Genomic DNA, 14792 nt, shown 5'->3' with positions numbered 1-14792 from the left:
TAGGTAAGCCACATCACTGCCCTCCCCTCTCTCATGGGTGAGCCATCTCCAGCAGCCTCTGATCCTCCCTTCACCTCCCCAATCAGGCCAAGTCGAGGCACAGAAGCATCTTTCAGGCAGGACCGTGGTGCAGGCAGCCCAGGGTTGGAGGGTTTGTTAGCTGCGGGAAGTGCCAGCGCTCCATCAAAGAGAGGGCATGGAGTTGGTCTCTGTCCCAGGGAGAGGAGGCCTCAGCCCTGATATGTTTTATGAGGGAATCAGGGAGTTCATGAAAAAAGAGCTGGGATGGGGGAATGGCAACCAGGCCAGTGGGTTCTGAGGAATGGTTGTTTCCAGGCCAGGATGGGCTGGACCTGCCCATTTAGAACCAAACCAGGGTGAGGATGGAGGTGGATGGAGGACTCGTTCTTCCAGCTGCTGTTGAACCCCTGCTGGGTCAGGCCGCACCCAGGTTCAAGAAACCAGCCAGGGCTAGGCCACTGCCCTGTCAACCACGAGCCCCTCCCCTCTGTCCTGACAGAACTGGGCACCACCACCTTTCACTCCAGCCACCACCTCTTCACACCTGTCTCAGGTGACAGGCCTAGAAGACAGGATTGCCAGGAAGAACATAAAAGCGGCCCAACCTGGGCCGCCCTAGAGAAGTCCCTGACCTCACACATGACCTTCCTTCTCCAAGGGCCTGGACGAGGGCCCTGGACGAGGGCTGCCTGGGCATTTGGTAGATTTCAGGAAGTGAGGTGGACCTGACTTCAGCATTTAATAATGATGTGAGCTAGACAACTTAATTTCTCAGAGGCTGGGTCTCTCCCCCTGTAAAATGGAATCATGACCTGCCATCGTGAGGCTCATGTTAGGTAACACACGGAGAGGCCCTGGTGCCCTGCTCACCTCTCAGCAGCAGCCGAGAAACGGAGCTTCCTTTCTTGGCAGAGTGGCCATGCCTGGACTGTGCCACCACTGCCACCCCACAGGGACCTGCAAGCTCCAGGACTATAAAACCTTGTTCAAGGTTGGGCGCGGTGGCTCACGCTTGTTATCCCAGCACTTTGGGAGGCCGAGGTGGGTGGATCACCTGAGGTCAGGAGTTCGAGACCAGCCTGGCCAACATGTGAAACCCCATCTCTACTAAAAATACAAAAATTAGCTGGGCATGGTGCCGCAACCCTGTAATCCCAGCTACTCAGGAGGCTGAGGTGGGAAAATTGCTTGAAGCCGGGAGGCAGAGACTGCAGTGAGCCGAGATCGGGCCACTGCGCTCCAGCCTGGGCGAAAGAATGAGACCCCATCTCACACAGAAAAAAAACAACAAAAAACAAACAAACAAACAAAACACCCTTGTTCAAGAGGAGTTTTGGCTGGCTGTGCTTGACCACTCCCAGCTTCCCGCAAAGGATTGCTCAAAAGCCTGAGCCCAAAGAGGAGAATAAACACACACACACACACACACACACACACACAAGGGCTTCGGTGTGGAAACAGAGCACACAGAAGGAAAACAGCAGAATAGTTAGAAATGTCATCTAGCCCAGCAACCCCACGGTGGCAGCTCCAGAATCAAAACAGTCTGCAAACAAGGCCACATTCAGTCCCCCATCTCTGGTGTCTCCCTGCTACCAGGGCCTGGCACTGTTCATTCTCCCAGCACTTCTTGCCACACAGCTGCCCAATTGTGGGGGCTGCCGCAACCTGCCTGACACCCAAGGGCAGAGATCTTTGGAGGTAATAATGGTGTTTTTCCATCCTCCTCCTCTTACACACACACCTGTCCCACCTGTCTCCCAGCACAGCCCTCCACAGAAGGAATTCCCATCTCCTAGACAGGAGGAGGCATCCCCTACCCCAAGGAAAAGGCCGCAGAGACAAGGTCCCTTGTGTCCAGGTTTATTTTACATTCTCTTCCAGAGGGGATGTGGGGCTGGGGGAGAGCCAGCAGGCAGGCGGGCAGCACACAGCAGTCTCCCTGGGGAATATTTGAGCCAGGCTAGTGGTGCCTGGCCCCACAGTGCGGGGTGATATGCCAGGGCCAGGGCCAGGACTTGGCAGCCCCTGGGAAGAGGAGGCCTTGGGGCCAGAGCTCTTGCCAGGCCTAGATCGCTAAGAAGGTGCTGCGTCTGTCCCCCGCCTTGCTCCGCCCCCCCACACCCAGCTGGAGGCCAGAAGGCAAAGAGGGCAGCCAGCAAGCTGGGGTGCTGGGAGGAACCCCAGCAGGCGGGGGCGGCCTTTGGTCTCTACGAGGCTAGGAAGCTGGTTCTGGTTAGAGGAACCCCGTGGGGGCAAAGCGGAGAGCTGGTCCCTGTTAGAGGAAACGCTGGAGCAGGATGGGGGTGGGGGACTTGGGGTCTGGTCTCAATAAGGCCTGGAAATGGTCTCCGCTTCAAAGCAGACCTCTGTATTTGGGGAGTGGGGTGGGGAGGAAATGAAAGGGCTGTGGGAGGAATGCCTGTGAGTCGTGGGTGGGAATCAGTCCAGGGGGCTTCGAGGGGGGTCCGAGGGAAAGGCTGCGGGGGTCGTCTGCAGATGCTGGGAGCTCAGGTCCTGGGGAAGGAGGATGTGGGCGGGGGTCCTCTCCCTCCCACGAGTGCCACCGCTCCCCACCCCATCCTGGCTGGCTCCAAGTTGCCATGGAGACCACTCACACCGGGGCAACGTAATTTCCAGGGAACGTTCCGAATTTCTGGGTCCTCCGGGAGACACCTGAAAGAGGAAAGGCAGGAAGAGCTTTCCCCACTCCCTTCTTTAACAGGGATGCAGGGGTGAGGGCCTGCCCCCTGCCGGCAGTGCCCAGAACTGTAGGGGAGTTCTGTAGGGGAGCCCAGAGAGGGAATTGGATTTGCTCTCCTCCTTCCTGCCCCCTAGCGGCAGAAGCTTAGATGGGCAAAGCTACACTTCCCACACTCAACCACCAAAGAATCTGAGCAATCAACAAATGTGCATCACACTGTACACAGCAGAGTCACTCCCCCCCTCCTCCGCAAAGTGGGGACACAGGAGGAGGAATCACAGAACTGAAATCGGGAGAAACGTCCCTGGTCTAATAGGGCACCCTCACTTAGAGATGGGTGGGAAGGCCTATGGGAAGGCTGAATGCATTGCCCGAGAGCACCCCGACGCTTAGGAGTAAGCTTGGGACTCCGATCCAGGCCTCTCAGCCCCACAGAAACTCGTGTCTTGAAGAGGAGGAGGGGGGGGAACCCCAGCGGGCAAAGCATCTGGGGGGCCTGGCACCCGATGCTTCCCCAAAGCCAGCACTTCTGTTGGCTGCTTTCCTTCGTGCCATGAAGAGAAGGACGCCCTGGAGGAAACTGGCACCACCCCAGGGTCACTGATGGAGTCACTGGGGACCCAGGCCGGGGTTGCCGACCTTCAGAGCCCTGCCCCTTTTCCCTGCACACCCCTGCCTCTGGAGCAGCCCTTGGGGAGAGCGCCTGGTGGAAAGGACCAGGGCTCACACCTGTGTATCCCCACACCCCCCAGCTGGTTCCTCCAGCCTGGGAGGAAGAGGGAATGGAGAAATATAGAAATACAGAAATGTAATAAATATTATTATATTCCTATATATAGAAAAATAGGAATATAAACTGAAATGAACGTCACTCCTGACCTTGGGTGAATGGATGATCCTGGGCCTCCCCTTCCAGGCTGGCACCCTGACTTCCTTGGGGGCAGCCCGTGCTCGTCCCACCCCCACCCTCGTCCTCTGCCCCGAGTACCTCCCTTTCCTCTTGGCCTCCCCAAATCCTTCCCCTGCCCTTCCAGGCCCAGCTCCCTCATTTCCTCCAGGAAGCCTTCCCTGACCTGCACTAACTAAAATGGGCACCACTCGCCACCTGTGGCTGTTGGGCACTTGAGATGTGCCTGTGCAACTGAGGAACTGGATTTTTAATTTATTTCATTTGAGCTACATTTCAACAGCTGAATGCCGCCGGTGGCTGCCATACCGGAAAGGGCACAGGTCTCGCCCATTCCTCTCAAAGCGCTTGTGGCTCCTAATACAAAAGTGGTACTTTTTCTTCTTGTCTGCATAGGTTTGCAAAACTTTATTAGTAGTTGTAAAAAAATTCCAAAGCAAAAGTGTATCCAGTAAATTTGAATGCATCTCCAAGCACCGCCTCCCTCCCTCCCCCACTAGAAGGTAGGGGCCATTCACAGGCTAGTGCTTAATGGTCCTGGGTGGGTCAGTACAGCTGGCTGGCAGCTGTACTGGGATCAGATCAGGAAGGGTGGGCTGCCAGGTCAAGGGGCTGCCCAAGCAGCCCCCCAACTCCTCAGGCTTCAAAGCCTGCTTGGGGCAGGGCAGGGGGCTTCTGGCCACTCTCTTCTCTCTGGGGACGGCCCATCCTTTGAAGATGAGACCTGCACAGGGCCCGCCCACTCTGGGGAAAGAGGCCATGTGAAGCCTGGTGGGTTGGTCACCTTGATTCAGGCTGAGGCCAACCTGAGGCTTCCTGCATTTGTCCTTGGTCAGAGCTGCCCTTGGGCCAGCCCTGAGGGGCTGGGACCTTTCTCCATTCCCTCTTCCTCCCAGGCTGGAGGAGCCAGCTAGGTCAAGTGTGAGCCCTGGTCCTTTCCACCAGGAGCTCTCCCCCAGGGCTGCTCGAGGCAGGGGTGTGCAGGAGGAAGAGGCAGAGCTCTGGACGTTGGGAACCCTGGCCTGGGTCCCCACTGACTCCATCAGTGACCCTGGACTGGTGCCAGTTTCCTCCTGGGCCTTGGCCTCTTCATGAAGGAAGGCAGCCAACAGAAGGGCTGGCTTTGGGGAAGCATCGGGTGCCAGGCCCCCCCAGTAGCCCGGCCGGAAGCTGAGTCGGGGGGTGGTCGGCCATGAATCTTTGCTGAAGCAGCACTGGCAGGCAACAGCACCCCACCCACATCCCCTGGGGCCCTGAGATGCCCCCTCCCGGCCTGCCCACATACCCACAAACCAGCCATCGTCACACTGCTGCATGACATCCACCCTGTCCCCCTCGCGCAGCTCCAGCTCGTCTTCGTTCTGGGGCCTGTACTGGTACATCGCCCGGTACCTGCGAGAAGCGTATCATGGCAACCAGAGAATGGGCCCAGAGGCTCTAACCCAAGTGTTGCCGCTTCCTGTGAATGCCCCAGGGTCCCTTCATGCTCTCACTAGCCCCTGATCCAGCTCCTCAGAGCAACTCAGCCTGTGCTCACCGTAGTCTTTCCCAGGCCTGCCTCCTGCCCTCTGGGCCCTAAGCACTGAACCCTCGCCTCCTCTGAGCACCTGGTGCCTTCCTGTCCATTCCACCAGTTCCACACTTCAATTATACATGCACCGACCTCAGGGCTAGAAACCCAATGAGGAGACCAAGGCCACAAGGCCACATAGCTGCCAGGAGGGATTGGGAACATCACAGACCAGCGCCTCCTCCCTGCCCCAAATCACCATAAGCTCTTCGAGGACAAGGGCTACCTGGTAGAAGTTTCCCAAATCCACAGGTGGGGACTTGGGGGAGGGTGGAATATGGGGCATTGCCTGCCAGTGACCCCCCCCACGTCTGATCAAGAGCCCTCAGATGGTACTCACGGGGTCCAGTGTATCTGAGAGGTGTTAGGAGAGGAGGTCCCCAGGTCCAGGGGATGGCTGGGACCTCGAGAGTGGGACAGAGCTGGACCAGGGGTGCCAAGATTCTGGGAGTTGACAGGAAGAAAGGGATGTCAGAGGGAGGAAGACGATGGGTACATGTAAGCCTGAGGGAGGAGGCCCAAAATGGGCGTTCCCAGTCCACCTGCCAGCACGCCTTACAAACGGCTTCATCTTAGCCTCCAAACCCCCAGGGCACAGGGACACCTGCTGTGACTATTTCATTTCACAGGGGCCAGAAAACTGAGGCCCAAGTAAGGTCAGTGCCTGGGTTTCTGGACGCCAGCATGGATGAACCAAGAACACCCAGGGTCAGGAGCCTGGGCCGGCTTTGGGATTCCATCTAGAGCTCCCTCGGCTAGAGCTCGGTAGGTTGAGGTCCCCCAGGCCAGGGTGGGGCTGCCATACTAGCTTCTGCCCTGTCACCCCACTCCTATGTCCCAGGGCTGTCTGGGAAGGAGTCCCAAGTGTGGACAAGTCACGGGGGTGGGGGATGAGGGGTGAGGAGGAGGTCGACTCTCTGGTGGAGGCAGGCTACCTCACCTGGGTCTGGGGTCTAGGCTCCTGGGTGGGGAAGGAGAAGCCAGTGCGACGGGGGGAGGTCTGTCCCCCCAAGTCGATGGGGTCAGCTGGGCTGCGCAGGGCTGAGGGGGAGCTGGGGTGACGGGCTGAGCGGGCGGCAGCGGTCAGGCGGGGAGACGTGGGGAGCTGGGGGCCGTCGTCACAGAGCCGGAGCCGGGGTTCACGAGACACCTGCACGTAGCTGGCAGGGAATATGCCTTGGCGCCCCGTGCCCGTGATGCGTCCCTCGTACCAGTTCTCGTTCACCTTGCGGATCAGGCAGATGTGCTCTCCCTGAGGGGGGAAAAGTCAGTGTCTGTGGGGCCTTCCTGGTGCCATGGACCCACGGGTGCCTTATCTGGGCTGTCTCATTCAACCCTAACACCTTGGACACACGAGGGGTCGGAATCGCAGGGGGCCAGCAGTTTACCCGAGTCACACGGTAAGAGCAGGAGCCAGGAGCCAAGCCCAGGCTGCCCAGGCAAGGCTGAGGCTGAGACTGGGTCCTGCCTCTTGGAAGCTCAACGGGTGTGCATCCCCCTTCGGCGTTCATAGCAAGGTCCCTCCCCAGAGCTCCGATCACAGGTGAGCCCGTGGCTAATAATACAGATCCAAACCCAGCTCCACCAGGCCAAGCTGTGTGGCCTCAGGCAGCCTGCTCTGTCTCTCTGAGCCTTGTTTTCTCCTATGTTAAGTGAAAATAACCATACTGTCACTATGAGGTGTGAACGAGATCAACAGTCCACTCCTTAGACACACTGGACAGGTGCTACCACTACTGCCCTGCCTGGGTCCTGTTCCTGCCTCACGCTGGGGGACCTTGTCATGAGCGTGTCAAAAACACACTCCCCAGGACAGGCAGGGAGTCCTGAAGGCCACAGGCTGGCTGACATTAGGTAGAACCACCCCCTGGGAGGGTGGCCTCCAGCCCTTGCCTTCCCCTGTCCTCTCCTGCCCCCATCTGTCTCCATCCAGCCACCTTCTTCCCCCTCTGTCCCTGGGGCCAGCTCTTCTGGGAGGCATTCACTATGGGCCGTCTTTCGCTTATTTTGGGAGCATGATCACTGCTCCCAAAATCAACCAAAGGCAGACCACTTCCCTGCTTTCTAGAACAGCATTTTTCAAACTTGTTTCACCACAATCTACAGTTAAAAATGTTTTAATAACAGCCCAGAATACATATATATGTGCATACACAGAACTGCCTACGGTATGATAAAGTGCTTTCTGCTCGCAACGCATGCTAACATTTCTGTCTATACCTTTAAAAATGCTGAGTATGATCCCCTGCAACCTGCAGTTGAAAAAATATATATGTAACTCTAGAAGTTTATGATGATCTTTTAAAAATGGACCAAAATTACTTGGGAGGCTGGGGCAGGGACAGGGGATCGCTTGAGCCCAGGAGTTCAAGGTCAGCCCGGGCAACATAGTGAGATGCTGTCTCAAAAAAAAGCAAAAAAAAGCCACTACACTAAAGGAAGCATAATGAAAGAGACTGGGGAAAACTTTGAAATCCTGGGTGAAGCTAGGTACATCGGACTCTTTTTTAAAGAAGTGTTTTTAGGCCAGGCGCGGTGGCTCACGCCTGTAATCCCAACACTTTAGGAGGCTGAGGCGGGTGGATTATGAGGTCAAGAGACTGAGACCATCCTGGCCAACATCGTGAAACCCTGTCTCTACTAAAAATACAAAAATTAGCTGGGTGTTGTGGCGCGTGCCTGTAGTCCCAGCTACTCGGGAAGCTGAGGCAGGAGAATTGCTTGAACCCGGGAGGCGGAGGTTGCAGTGAGCCGAGATGGCACCACTGCGCTACAGCCTGGCGATAGAGTGAGACTCTGTCTCAAAAAAAAAAAACTGTTTTTAGTGCACATATTTACCTACATCTTCACCTGCCCCCACCCACCCCTCCGTCTCCGGCCTGGCCCACCTTGCGGAAGGACAGCTCCACCTCCAGGTCCCCCTTGAAGGTGTACTGGGCCACAGCCTCTCCATACTCCAGCACCTGGTAGGTCGGGGGCTTGATGGGCTTAGGGATCTCATCTGCGGGCAGCACCTGCATGAAGAAAGGTCATGAGAAAGATTTGGCCTGGGCATCAACATAGCACAGGCTGGGGGTTCCTGTGAGACAGCAAAGAGAAGGTGGGCCCGCCCCTAGGCAGAGAAAAGATATAAACACCAGACACAAGCCCTGGGGGCAGCCACGGGTGGGCACAGCCAAAGGGTGCTGGAGGATGGGGAGGAGTCTGGGAACGCTCCCTGGAAGAAGAATTTTCCATAGGGATATATGGAGTGGGCATTACTGAAGTGAAGAACTCCAAGAGAAAAGATGGAAGCCAGTCCAATTAGAGAGTTTAAGTTGGACCACAGAAGAAAATGAGGCGTTCCAAGCAGCAAGGGGAACTTGGGGAACTGTTCCAAAACTGAGCATTCACCCTTTTCTCACTGCTGAGAACCGGGTGTCCCTGGGTTCCAGCGTCTCGGTTCTTCCTCCCCATCTACCCCAGCCGGAGCCCAGAATCCTCACGTTCTCTTTGCTTCACTCTGCCCATAAAAATCAAGCAGCCAATAAACCATTTCACACAAAGATAGAAACGACTGGCGGAGTGAAATACTGTATATACTTTGTGAAATTTCAGGACCAAGTGGATCATCGTGTAAGCAAGGGAGGCCTAATGATACCTATCAAAACAAGAGCCTGAATTAAACAACAACCCAACCCATGGGTCAAAGAGGAAGTCACAGACGAGATGAGAAAACAGTCAAGAGTTGATGAAAAATCAAAATGTGTGAGATGCAGTTAAAGCAGCATTCTAGGGAAAAATGTTTCAAATCAATAGTCTAAACTTTCATCCTAAGAAACTTAGAAAAATAACAAATTAAACCAAAAGCAAGCAACAATAAGCAAATAAGAAGCAGAACTCAATGAAATCGAAAACAAAAACGAGAGAAAAACATGAATAAAATCCAAAGATCAAGTAAATTAATAAAGCTCTAGACAGAATAAGAGAAGACGCAAATTGCCAACATCAGGAATGAAAGAGAACATATCAGCCGGGCACAGTGGCTCACGCTTGTAACCCAAGCACTTTGGGAGGCTGAGGCGGGTGGATCACCTGAGGTCAGGAGTTCGAGACCAGCCAGGCCAATGTATAGTGAAACCTCATCTCTACTAAAAAATTACAAAAATTATCTGGGCGTGGTGGCGCATTCCTGTAGTCCCAGCTACTTAGGAAGCTGGGGCAGGAGAATCCCTTGAACCAGGGAGGTGGAGGTTGCAGTGCACCAAGATCCCGCCACTGCACTCCAGCCTGGACAGCAGAGCAAGACTCTGTCTCTCCAAAAAAAAAAAAAAGAAAGAGAAGACATCACTACATATTTTACTGACATGAAAAGGATAGTAAGAGACTATAATGAACACCTTTATGCCAGTAATTTGGATAACTTGACATATTTTAAAAGTCACAAATAGCAAAGATAACCTATCGCCCTTTATCTGTCAAGCCCAGAACCTGTCTCTGGAATCAAAAGACCTGGATTCAGATTCTGGATCTTTTACTTAATAACTTTTCACTGAACCTTGGCATCCCCATCTGTAAAACAGAGATAATCTATCACTCTCTGGGCAGTGAGAGGAACCAGGGCGGTAATACACCTGAAAGAGGTTATGCGTGTATACGTGATTTATAAACTGTCGCACACTTCCCACTCTTGCTAGTTGCCATTAGGATGATTTCCAAAGACAGCTTTAGAAAGACGGATCTGAATGGTGAAAGTCTGGGACACGAATGGTTGAGGAGCTGGCTGCTGGGTCCTCCCCTGGGCTAGGCTCCACCCTCATTTAGCAAACATTTCCTGGGGTCATGCACAGCATTGGGCCAAGCCCTGTGGGGGCCAAGGACAGTTCCGAGACACGCCCCAGCCCCTCACAGTTTTTTGCTTTAGGAAACCCAAGGTTTGCACTAAGTCTCTCCCAACCCCTGCGCCCTCCCAGCCCAGCCCCACTTGCTCTTGTCTCTCCTGCTCACCTCCACATAATTAGCAGGGAAGATGCCCAGGCGGCCGTGGTGCTCTCCCTCCAGCCAGTTCTTGTCCACCTCCTTGTGGATGTAGACAATGTCACCCTTCTGCAGAGTCAGCTCCCTGCAGGTGGGGACGAGGACCGCAGGGTAAGCTGAAGCCTTCCCAAGCCTCCTTCCCTTCAGACCCTGCCCAACACACCCCAGTTCTCTCACCCCTTGGGGATGCCCACTGCAGCCCAGTCCCCCTCCCCATCCCCCTCTGGGATGGCAGAGATTGCCTTGGGTGGAAGGGGAGGGGGAGGAGGGCGCTTACTTGGGGGACTGCGCCTGGAAGTCAAACTTGAGCCTGGCGGCCTTTCTCTAGGCAGGGGAGAGGACAGAGTGGGCTCTCTCAGTTGGGCGGGTGGCAGATCCAGGATGGCAGCCTTGGGACCACTCCAGGTCCCCCACACCTGGTCCCCTCCTTACCTTCTTCTCTTCCCTCCTGGCTGGGCTGCCCCCTCCGTTAGAGGCACTAGGGTCTGTGGAGAAGCACAACCTCAGCTTGGGGAGGCCATACCTGGGGGATGGGGTTGCACCCCCACCTAGGGCAGGCACTGGCAGAAGCAAGGGGCTCTGTGACCTGCCACCCCTGGGGCACCAACATGCCTGGTGGGTGGGCATCTCCGTGAGAAAGAGAGCAGGGCTGGGTCCTTACCTCGGGTTGAGGAAGGGTAGACAAAGTCCCTCCGACCTAGGAAGGGGCTTCCTCCATCAGCCATTTTGTGGGGACTCAGGGACCGGGCGGAACCCAGGTAAGGTGCATGTGGGTAGCTGGAGCTCCAGGCTGAGGCCGGGCTGCACGGGGCACAGAGACTGAGCCTCCAGCCTGGGGCTCCGCACCCCACCCTGGTCACCCCTAGACCGCTCTGACCCCCCATCGCCCCCATCCCTGCCACCTCCTCCCAGGGCGTCTCCCGGGTCCTGGGCTCTCCACAGGATGTCCTACTTCCCGAGTCGCTGCGCGGGGAAGGGTGAGGCCCGGCAGGGCCCAGCGGGAGTGCCTGGGCCGTGGCGGGGCCGCCCTAACCGCGCTGCGCCCCCGGCGGCCGCGACCCCGGTCCTCTGCTAGGAGTTAGCTGCCCTCGGTGGCGCGGGAACGGCGCCCCGCAGAGAGTGGCGCTGCGGTCCCTCCCGGACACGGCTCTGCGGTTCCTTCCTCCCCCGGCTGGGCCCCGCGATCGCCCCCGTCCGCCCCGCCCGGCCGCGCCACGTTCCCTCCCGCCCGGCCTGGGACAGCCCCCTTCCTCCTCCCGCGTCTCCCACTCACCCGGCCGGGGGCCGCTGCTCCGGGGCCCGTCGGGGCGCCGGCGAGCTCTGCGCGGGGAAACGGCGCAATCAGGGCCCGCGACCCCGGGACCCAGCGGCAGCCGAGGCCGCCGCCTCCGGAAAAGTTCGCGGCTCGGGAGGGGAGGAGAGCGGGCGGGACGCGGGGTCCTAGAGGCGCCCGCGCGGCCGATCCCGGGAGCGGGGCGGGAACTAGGGGAAGGGGCGGGGGTCCCCGAGGCTGGGGCCCGGGGGCCGGACGGGGCGGGCGCCCGGTCGTCGGGCTGACGTGGAGTCCGCTTAGAAAGGCTCCTCGGGGTCACTTGCGAAAGTCGACGCCCTGTATTTTATTTATGGAGGAGCGAGCCCGCCAGCGCCCAGGAGGGCCCGAGGCCGGTGCGCGCCGCTGGAGGCCGGACCTCGGCTGCCCGTCCTCCGCCCAGCCCAGCCGCCGAGGCTCCCGGCTCGCCCCGACCCTGCGGTCGCCGGCGTGCCCCGCGGGTGAACCCTGGGGGCTGGTACCTTGGGGGACGGCAGTCGGGTCTCAATTGCCCGCAGGTCCTTGTCCAGCTCGGCGCTCAGCTCGGCCAGCTCTCTCTCCAGCAGCACCTGGGGGCGGGGAGAGGCTGGGCAGTGAGGGGCAGCGCACCGTGGGGGTGGGAGGCAGCGGTCAAAGATCGACTGTGAAAAGCAAGGCCAGCGCACCGGGCCGGCGTAAGGGCAGGCCTCAGCGCACGGGCCGGGCTCCTGCCAGGAGGTGTGGCCCAGGGTGCCAAGAGGGCATCCCCGCCACGGCCTCTCACCTGCCCAGCACGCCCCGGGAGTGCCTACGCGCTTCCTGATCCCGCGATTCCGCAGTCCTGCCAGTTTCTGCCAAGTTGTGTCTCTGTTACAGCACCAATGGGGTTCCCCATTTCCTCTCCCATCTTCTCCCGCCCTCCAAGGCCTGGCTTCACTGTGCCCATCCAGGTTCCCCCGCCACCCCAGGGACCGGAGCCCCCACCCCCACGCTGCTTCCTGCCAGCCTCTGCTATGGGTCTTCGCCGAATCAGGCCCTCGGAGCTTCTCAAGGGTCCAGCTCCACCTCCAAGAATATTTCCTGATAATCCCAGTGCGCACTGACCACTCCCTTTTCTGCTCCTGCTTTGGCCAACACATATTTATTTAACACATGTTTACTGAGCGCCTCCTGTATGCCAGCCACTGTCCTGAGTGCTGGCATTACAGAAATAAACCATGTGGGACTGGAGAGAGAGCTCTTAGTTCGTGGCCTATGCCCATGGTTACTGGGGCCACCAAAACCCTAATCTCCCTGGTTTATCAGGCTGCTGTCCCCAGCACCCTGCAGCACTCACCTCAATGGGCTGGGAGGGCTTCTCACCAGGGTCGTCCACCAGCGGTTTCTTGGGCTGAAGGGTAGAAAGGGTGTGTCAGAGCAGGTGAACTCACTTTCCAAAATGTATCAGCTGAGGGTGCGTGCACACCCCGAGAGCCAGCCAGCACTCACCCTCTGCCCAGTCTCTAGTTCCTGCAGAAACTGGTTCCAGGACTCTTCCGTCCAGACATTGTCTACTTTTTCCCGGCGTCTGAGCACCTGCGTGGAGGTGGGTGGGTGTCAGCTTGTGAAGAGGGCTACTGGGACACTGGCCAGGCTCAAAATGCAGGCTTGCAGGCCCCTGCCCTTCCCCTGGGCCCACGGTGTCCTCCAAGGGATTCAAGCTGAAAGGACATCGTGGCATAGGGTCTTGGCCATACGGCATACAGCTGGGGCTGACCAGGGACTATGCTGGGTGGGCTACCTGATTTGAGGGCTGCAGCACAGTGGAGAATGCTCCAGGTCTGTAGTTGAAGGTGCTTCTAGGTAACTCTTCAGAGTGGTCCCAGCTTCTTCTAAAGAAAGGGAAGGACATCTCTTCAGCTTCCTTTTAGGGAGACTGAGGCAGAAGCCAGCACACAGCCCTCTCACCCTGCCCTTGTCCCTGCTGTGGGGTCTACTCTGCCTCTGACTGCCCTGCCGTTACTCTGGAAGCAAGATTAAACTGTGGAAGTGTGTGAGCTCCAAGCTTAAATTCCAGCTCTACTGTTTAGTGGATGTGTAACCTTTGAACAAGTTACTGATCCCTCAGAGCCTCAGGCTCAGAACCTGTAATATAGAAATGATTTGGTGAGAGAACATATATGAGGTGCCCGGGAGAAGGCCTCACACACATATTTGCTCCAGGTGTGGCCCGACCCTCTCCTGTGGGCCTTTTTGCTAAAGTGTCCTGTATGTGTGTTTGGTCTGGCCCCATGACTGTGGCTATGTGCGTCTGTGCAGCTTTGAAGAAGCTGGTCTTTCTGGGTGCTGTGGCTGAGTGATCGTACACCCATGGGCAAGGAAAGCCAGAGGCAGCTCTGCCCTGCAGCTCTGGCCAAGTTATTTCTGCTCCCTGGGCCTAGTTCCATGAGGGTGCTGGATTCAGTGACTCTGTCTGTGAGACCACCCCAGCCACTGCAGTACAGCATGGACACATCTGCCTTAGCTCCCCTCCAGGGCCCCTTGCTGGCTGGCTTACATGGAATGTTCCAGCCTCTGTTTGAAAGTTTCCACTGAGAGGAACCACTGCATCAGGCTTATCAAATAATACAACGTCTGACCAAGGGTTGGGATTTGTTGGCTGTAATAATGACTCCATTCTGATTTTGGTAATAATAAAAGTGACTGTGAGAATGTCATTCCTAACCTAAGGAAGCAGTAATCATAATTTTTTTTTTTTTTGATACGGAGTCTCGCTCTGTCGCCCAGGCTGGAGTGCAGTGGCGCAATCCCGGCTCACTGCAAGCTCCGCCTCCTGGGTTCATGCCATTCTCCTACCTCAGCCTCCCGAGTAGATGGGACTACAGGCACCCGCCACCGCGCCCGGCTAATTTTTTGTATTGTTTTTAGTAGAGACGGGGTTTCACCATGTTAGCCAGGATGGTCTCGATCTCCTGACCTCGTGATCCGCCCGCCTCAGCCTCCAAAAGTGCTGGGATTACAGGCGTGAGCCACCACACCCAGCCTTGTAATCATAATTAAGCCTGTATATTACTAATGTTTGTGCAGGCTTGCTATGTGCAAAACATGATGCATGATACACACATGATCACACTGAACCCTCTGGGCATTACCACTTAAAAGATGGGGACACAGAGGCTCAGACTGAGTGAGGTACCCACAGTCACATGGCTAGTGGCAGTGCACAGGCTTAAACCCAGAACTCAGCGTCCAAATCTTGAGCCCTTTGCCTCTGAACCTTATCGGTGATGCCCAGAGCTACGGGCCA

General features: G+C 56.9%; 1 protein-coding gene across 12 annotated transcripts in view, besides 6 other annotated features; it reads right to left on the bottom strand.

Moving 5' to 3' along the window:
* The window catches only part of SORBS3 (sorbin and SH3 domain containing 3), a 30816-nt gene continuing 17599 nt past the window's right edge, over positions 1576-14792 (bottom strand). For 8 of the 12 annotated variants that reach the window (XM_047421214.1, XM_047421216.1, XM_047421215.1 and 5 more), the window contains 14 exons: positions 13287-13377; positions 12995-13081; positions 12843-12896; positions 12010-12096; positions 11492-11538; positions 10880-11019; positions 10651-10703; positions 10496-10542; positions 10189-10303; positions 8091-8216; positions 6143-6454; positions 5543-5646; positions 4918-5024; positions 1576-2697 (listed from right to left, as the gene is read on the bottom strand). In XM_047421214.1, the coding sequence (XP_047277170.1) occupies positions 2636-2697; positions 4918-5024; positions 5543-5646; positions 6143-6454; positions 8091-8216; positions 10189-10303; positions 10496-10542; positions 10651-10703; positions 10880-11019; positions 11492-11538; positions 12010-12096; positions 12843-12896; positions 12995-13081; positions 13287-13377 (1432 nt within the window). In that variant the 3' untranslated portion in view covers positions 1576-2635. Of the gene's footprint in view, positions 2698-4917; positions 5025-5542; positions 5647-6142; positions 6455-8090; positions 8217-10188; positions 10304-10495; positions 10543-10650; positions 10704-10879; positions 11020-11120; positions 11376-11491; positions 11636-12009; positions 12097-12290; positions 12358-12490; positions 12556-12842; positions 12897-12994; positions 13082-13286; positions 13378-14792 lie in introns of those variants that run through there. The other 4 variants (XM_047421219.1, NM_001018003.3, XM_017012945.2 and 1 more) reach the window with 4 other exon arrangements.
* Positions 2318-3036: an enhancer, noted in NCBI's record as "H3K4me1 hESC enhancer chr8:22431841-22432559 (GRCh37/hg19 assembly coordinates)". NCBI's record gives its function as "activates a minimal SCP1, AML or CMV promoter by ChIP-STARR-seq in naive H9 embryonic stem cells {active_cell/tissue: H9 hESC(naive)}" and the evidence as "EXISTENCE:reporter gene assay evidence [ECO:0000049][PMID:30033119]".
* Positions 2779-2928: a silencer, noted in NCBI's record as "silent region_18992". NCBI's record gives its function as "represses an Ori minimal core promoter by ATAC-STARR-seq in GM12878 lymphoblastoid cells {active_cell/tissue: GM12878}" and the evidence as "EXISTENCE:reporter gene assay evidence [ECO:0000049][PMID:35858748]".
* Positions 4102-4792: an enhancer, noted in NCBI's record as "H3K4me1 hESC enhancer chr8:22430085-22430775 (GRCh37/hg19 assembly coordinates)". NCBI's record gives its function as "activates a minimal SCP1, AML or CMV promoter by ChIP-STARR-seq in primed H9 embryonic stem cells {active_cell/tissue: H9 hESC(primed)}" and the evidence as "EXISTENCE:reporter gene assay evidence [ECO:0000049][PMID:30033119]".
* Positions 4793-5484: an enhancer, noted in NCBI's record as "H3K4me1 hESC enhancer chr8:22429393-22430084 (GRCh37/hg19 assembly coordinates)". NCBI's record gives its function as "activates a minimal SCP1, AML or CMV promoter by ChIP-STARR-seq in primed H9 embryonic stem cells {active_cell/tissue: H9 hESC(primed)}" and the evidence as "EXISTENCE:reporter gene assay evidence [ECO:0000049][PMID:30033119]".
* Positions 11120-11679: a silencer, noted in NCBI's record as "silent region_18991". NCBI's record gives its function as "represses an Ori minimal core promoter by ATAC-STARR-seq in GM12878 lymphoblastoid cells {active_cell/tissue: GM12878}" and the evidence as "EXISTENCE:reporter gene assay evidence [ECO:0000049][PMID:35858748]".
* Positions 12635-13528: an enhancer, noted in NCBI's record as "H3K4me1 hESC enhancer chr8:22421349-22422242 (GRCh37/hg19 assembly coordinates)". NCBI's record gives its function as "activates a minimal SCP1, AML or CMV promoter by ChIP-STARR-seq in naive H9 embryonic stem cells {active_cell/tissue: H9 hESC(naive)}" and the evidence as "EXISTENCE:reporter gene assay evidence [ECO:0000049][PMID:30033119]".

Source organism: Homo sapiens, chromosome 8, assembly GCF_000001405.40.
Source record: "Homo sapiens chromosome 8, GRCh38.p14 Primary Assembly".
Lineage (NCBI taxonomy): Eukaryota > Metazoa > Chordata > Mammalia > Primates > Hominidae > Homo > Homo sapiens.
This window is presented reverse-complemented; position numbering and strand designations above follow the sequence as displayed.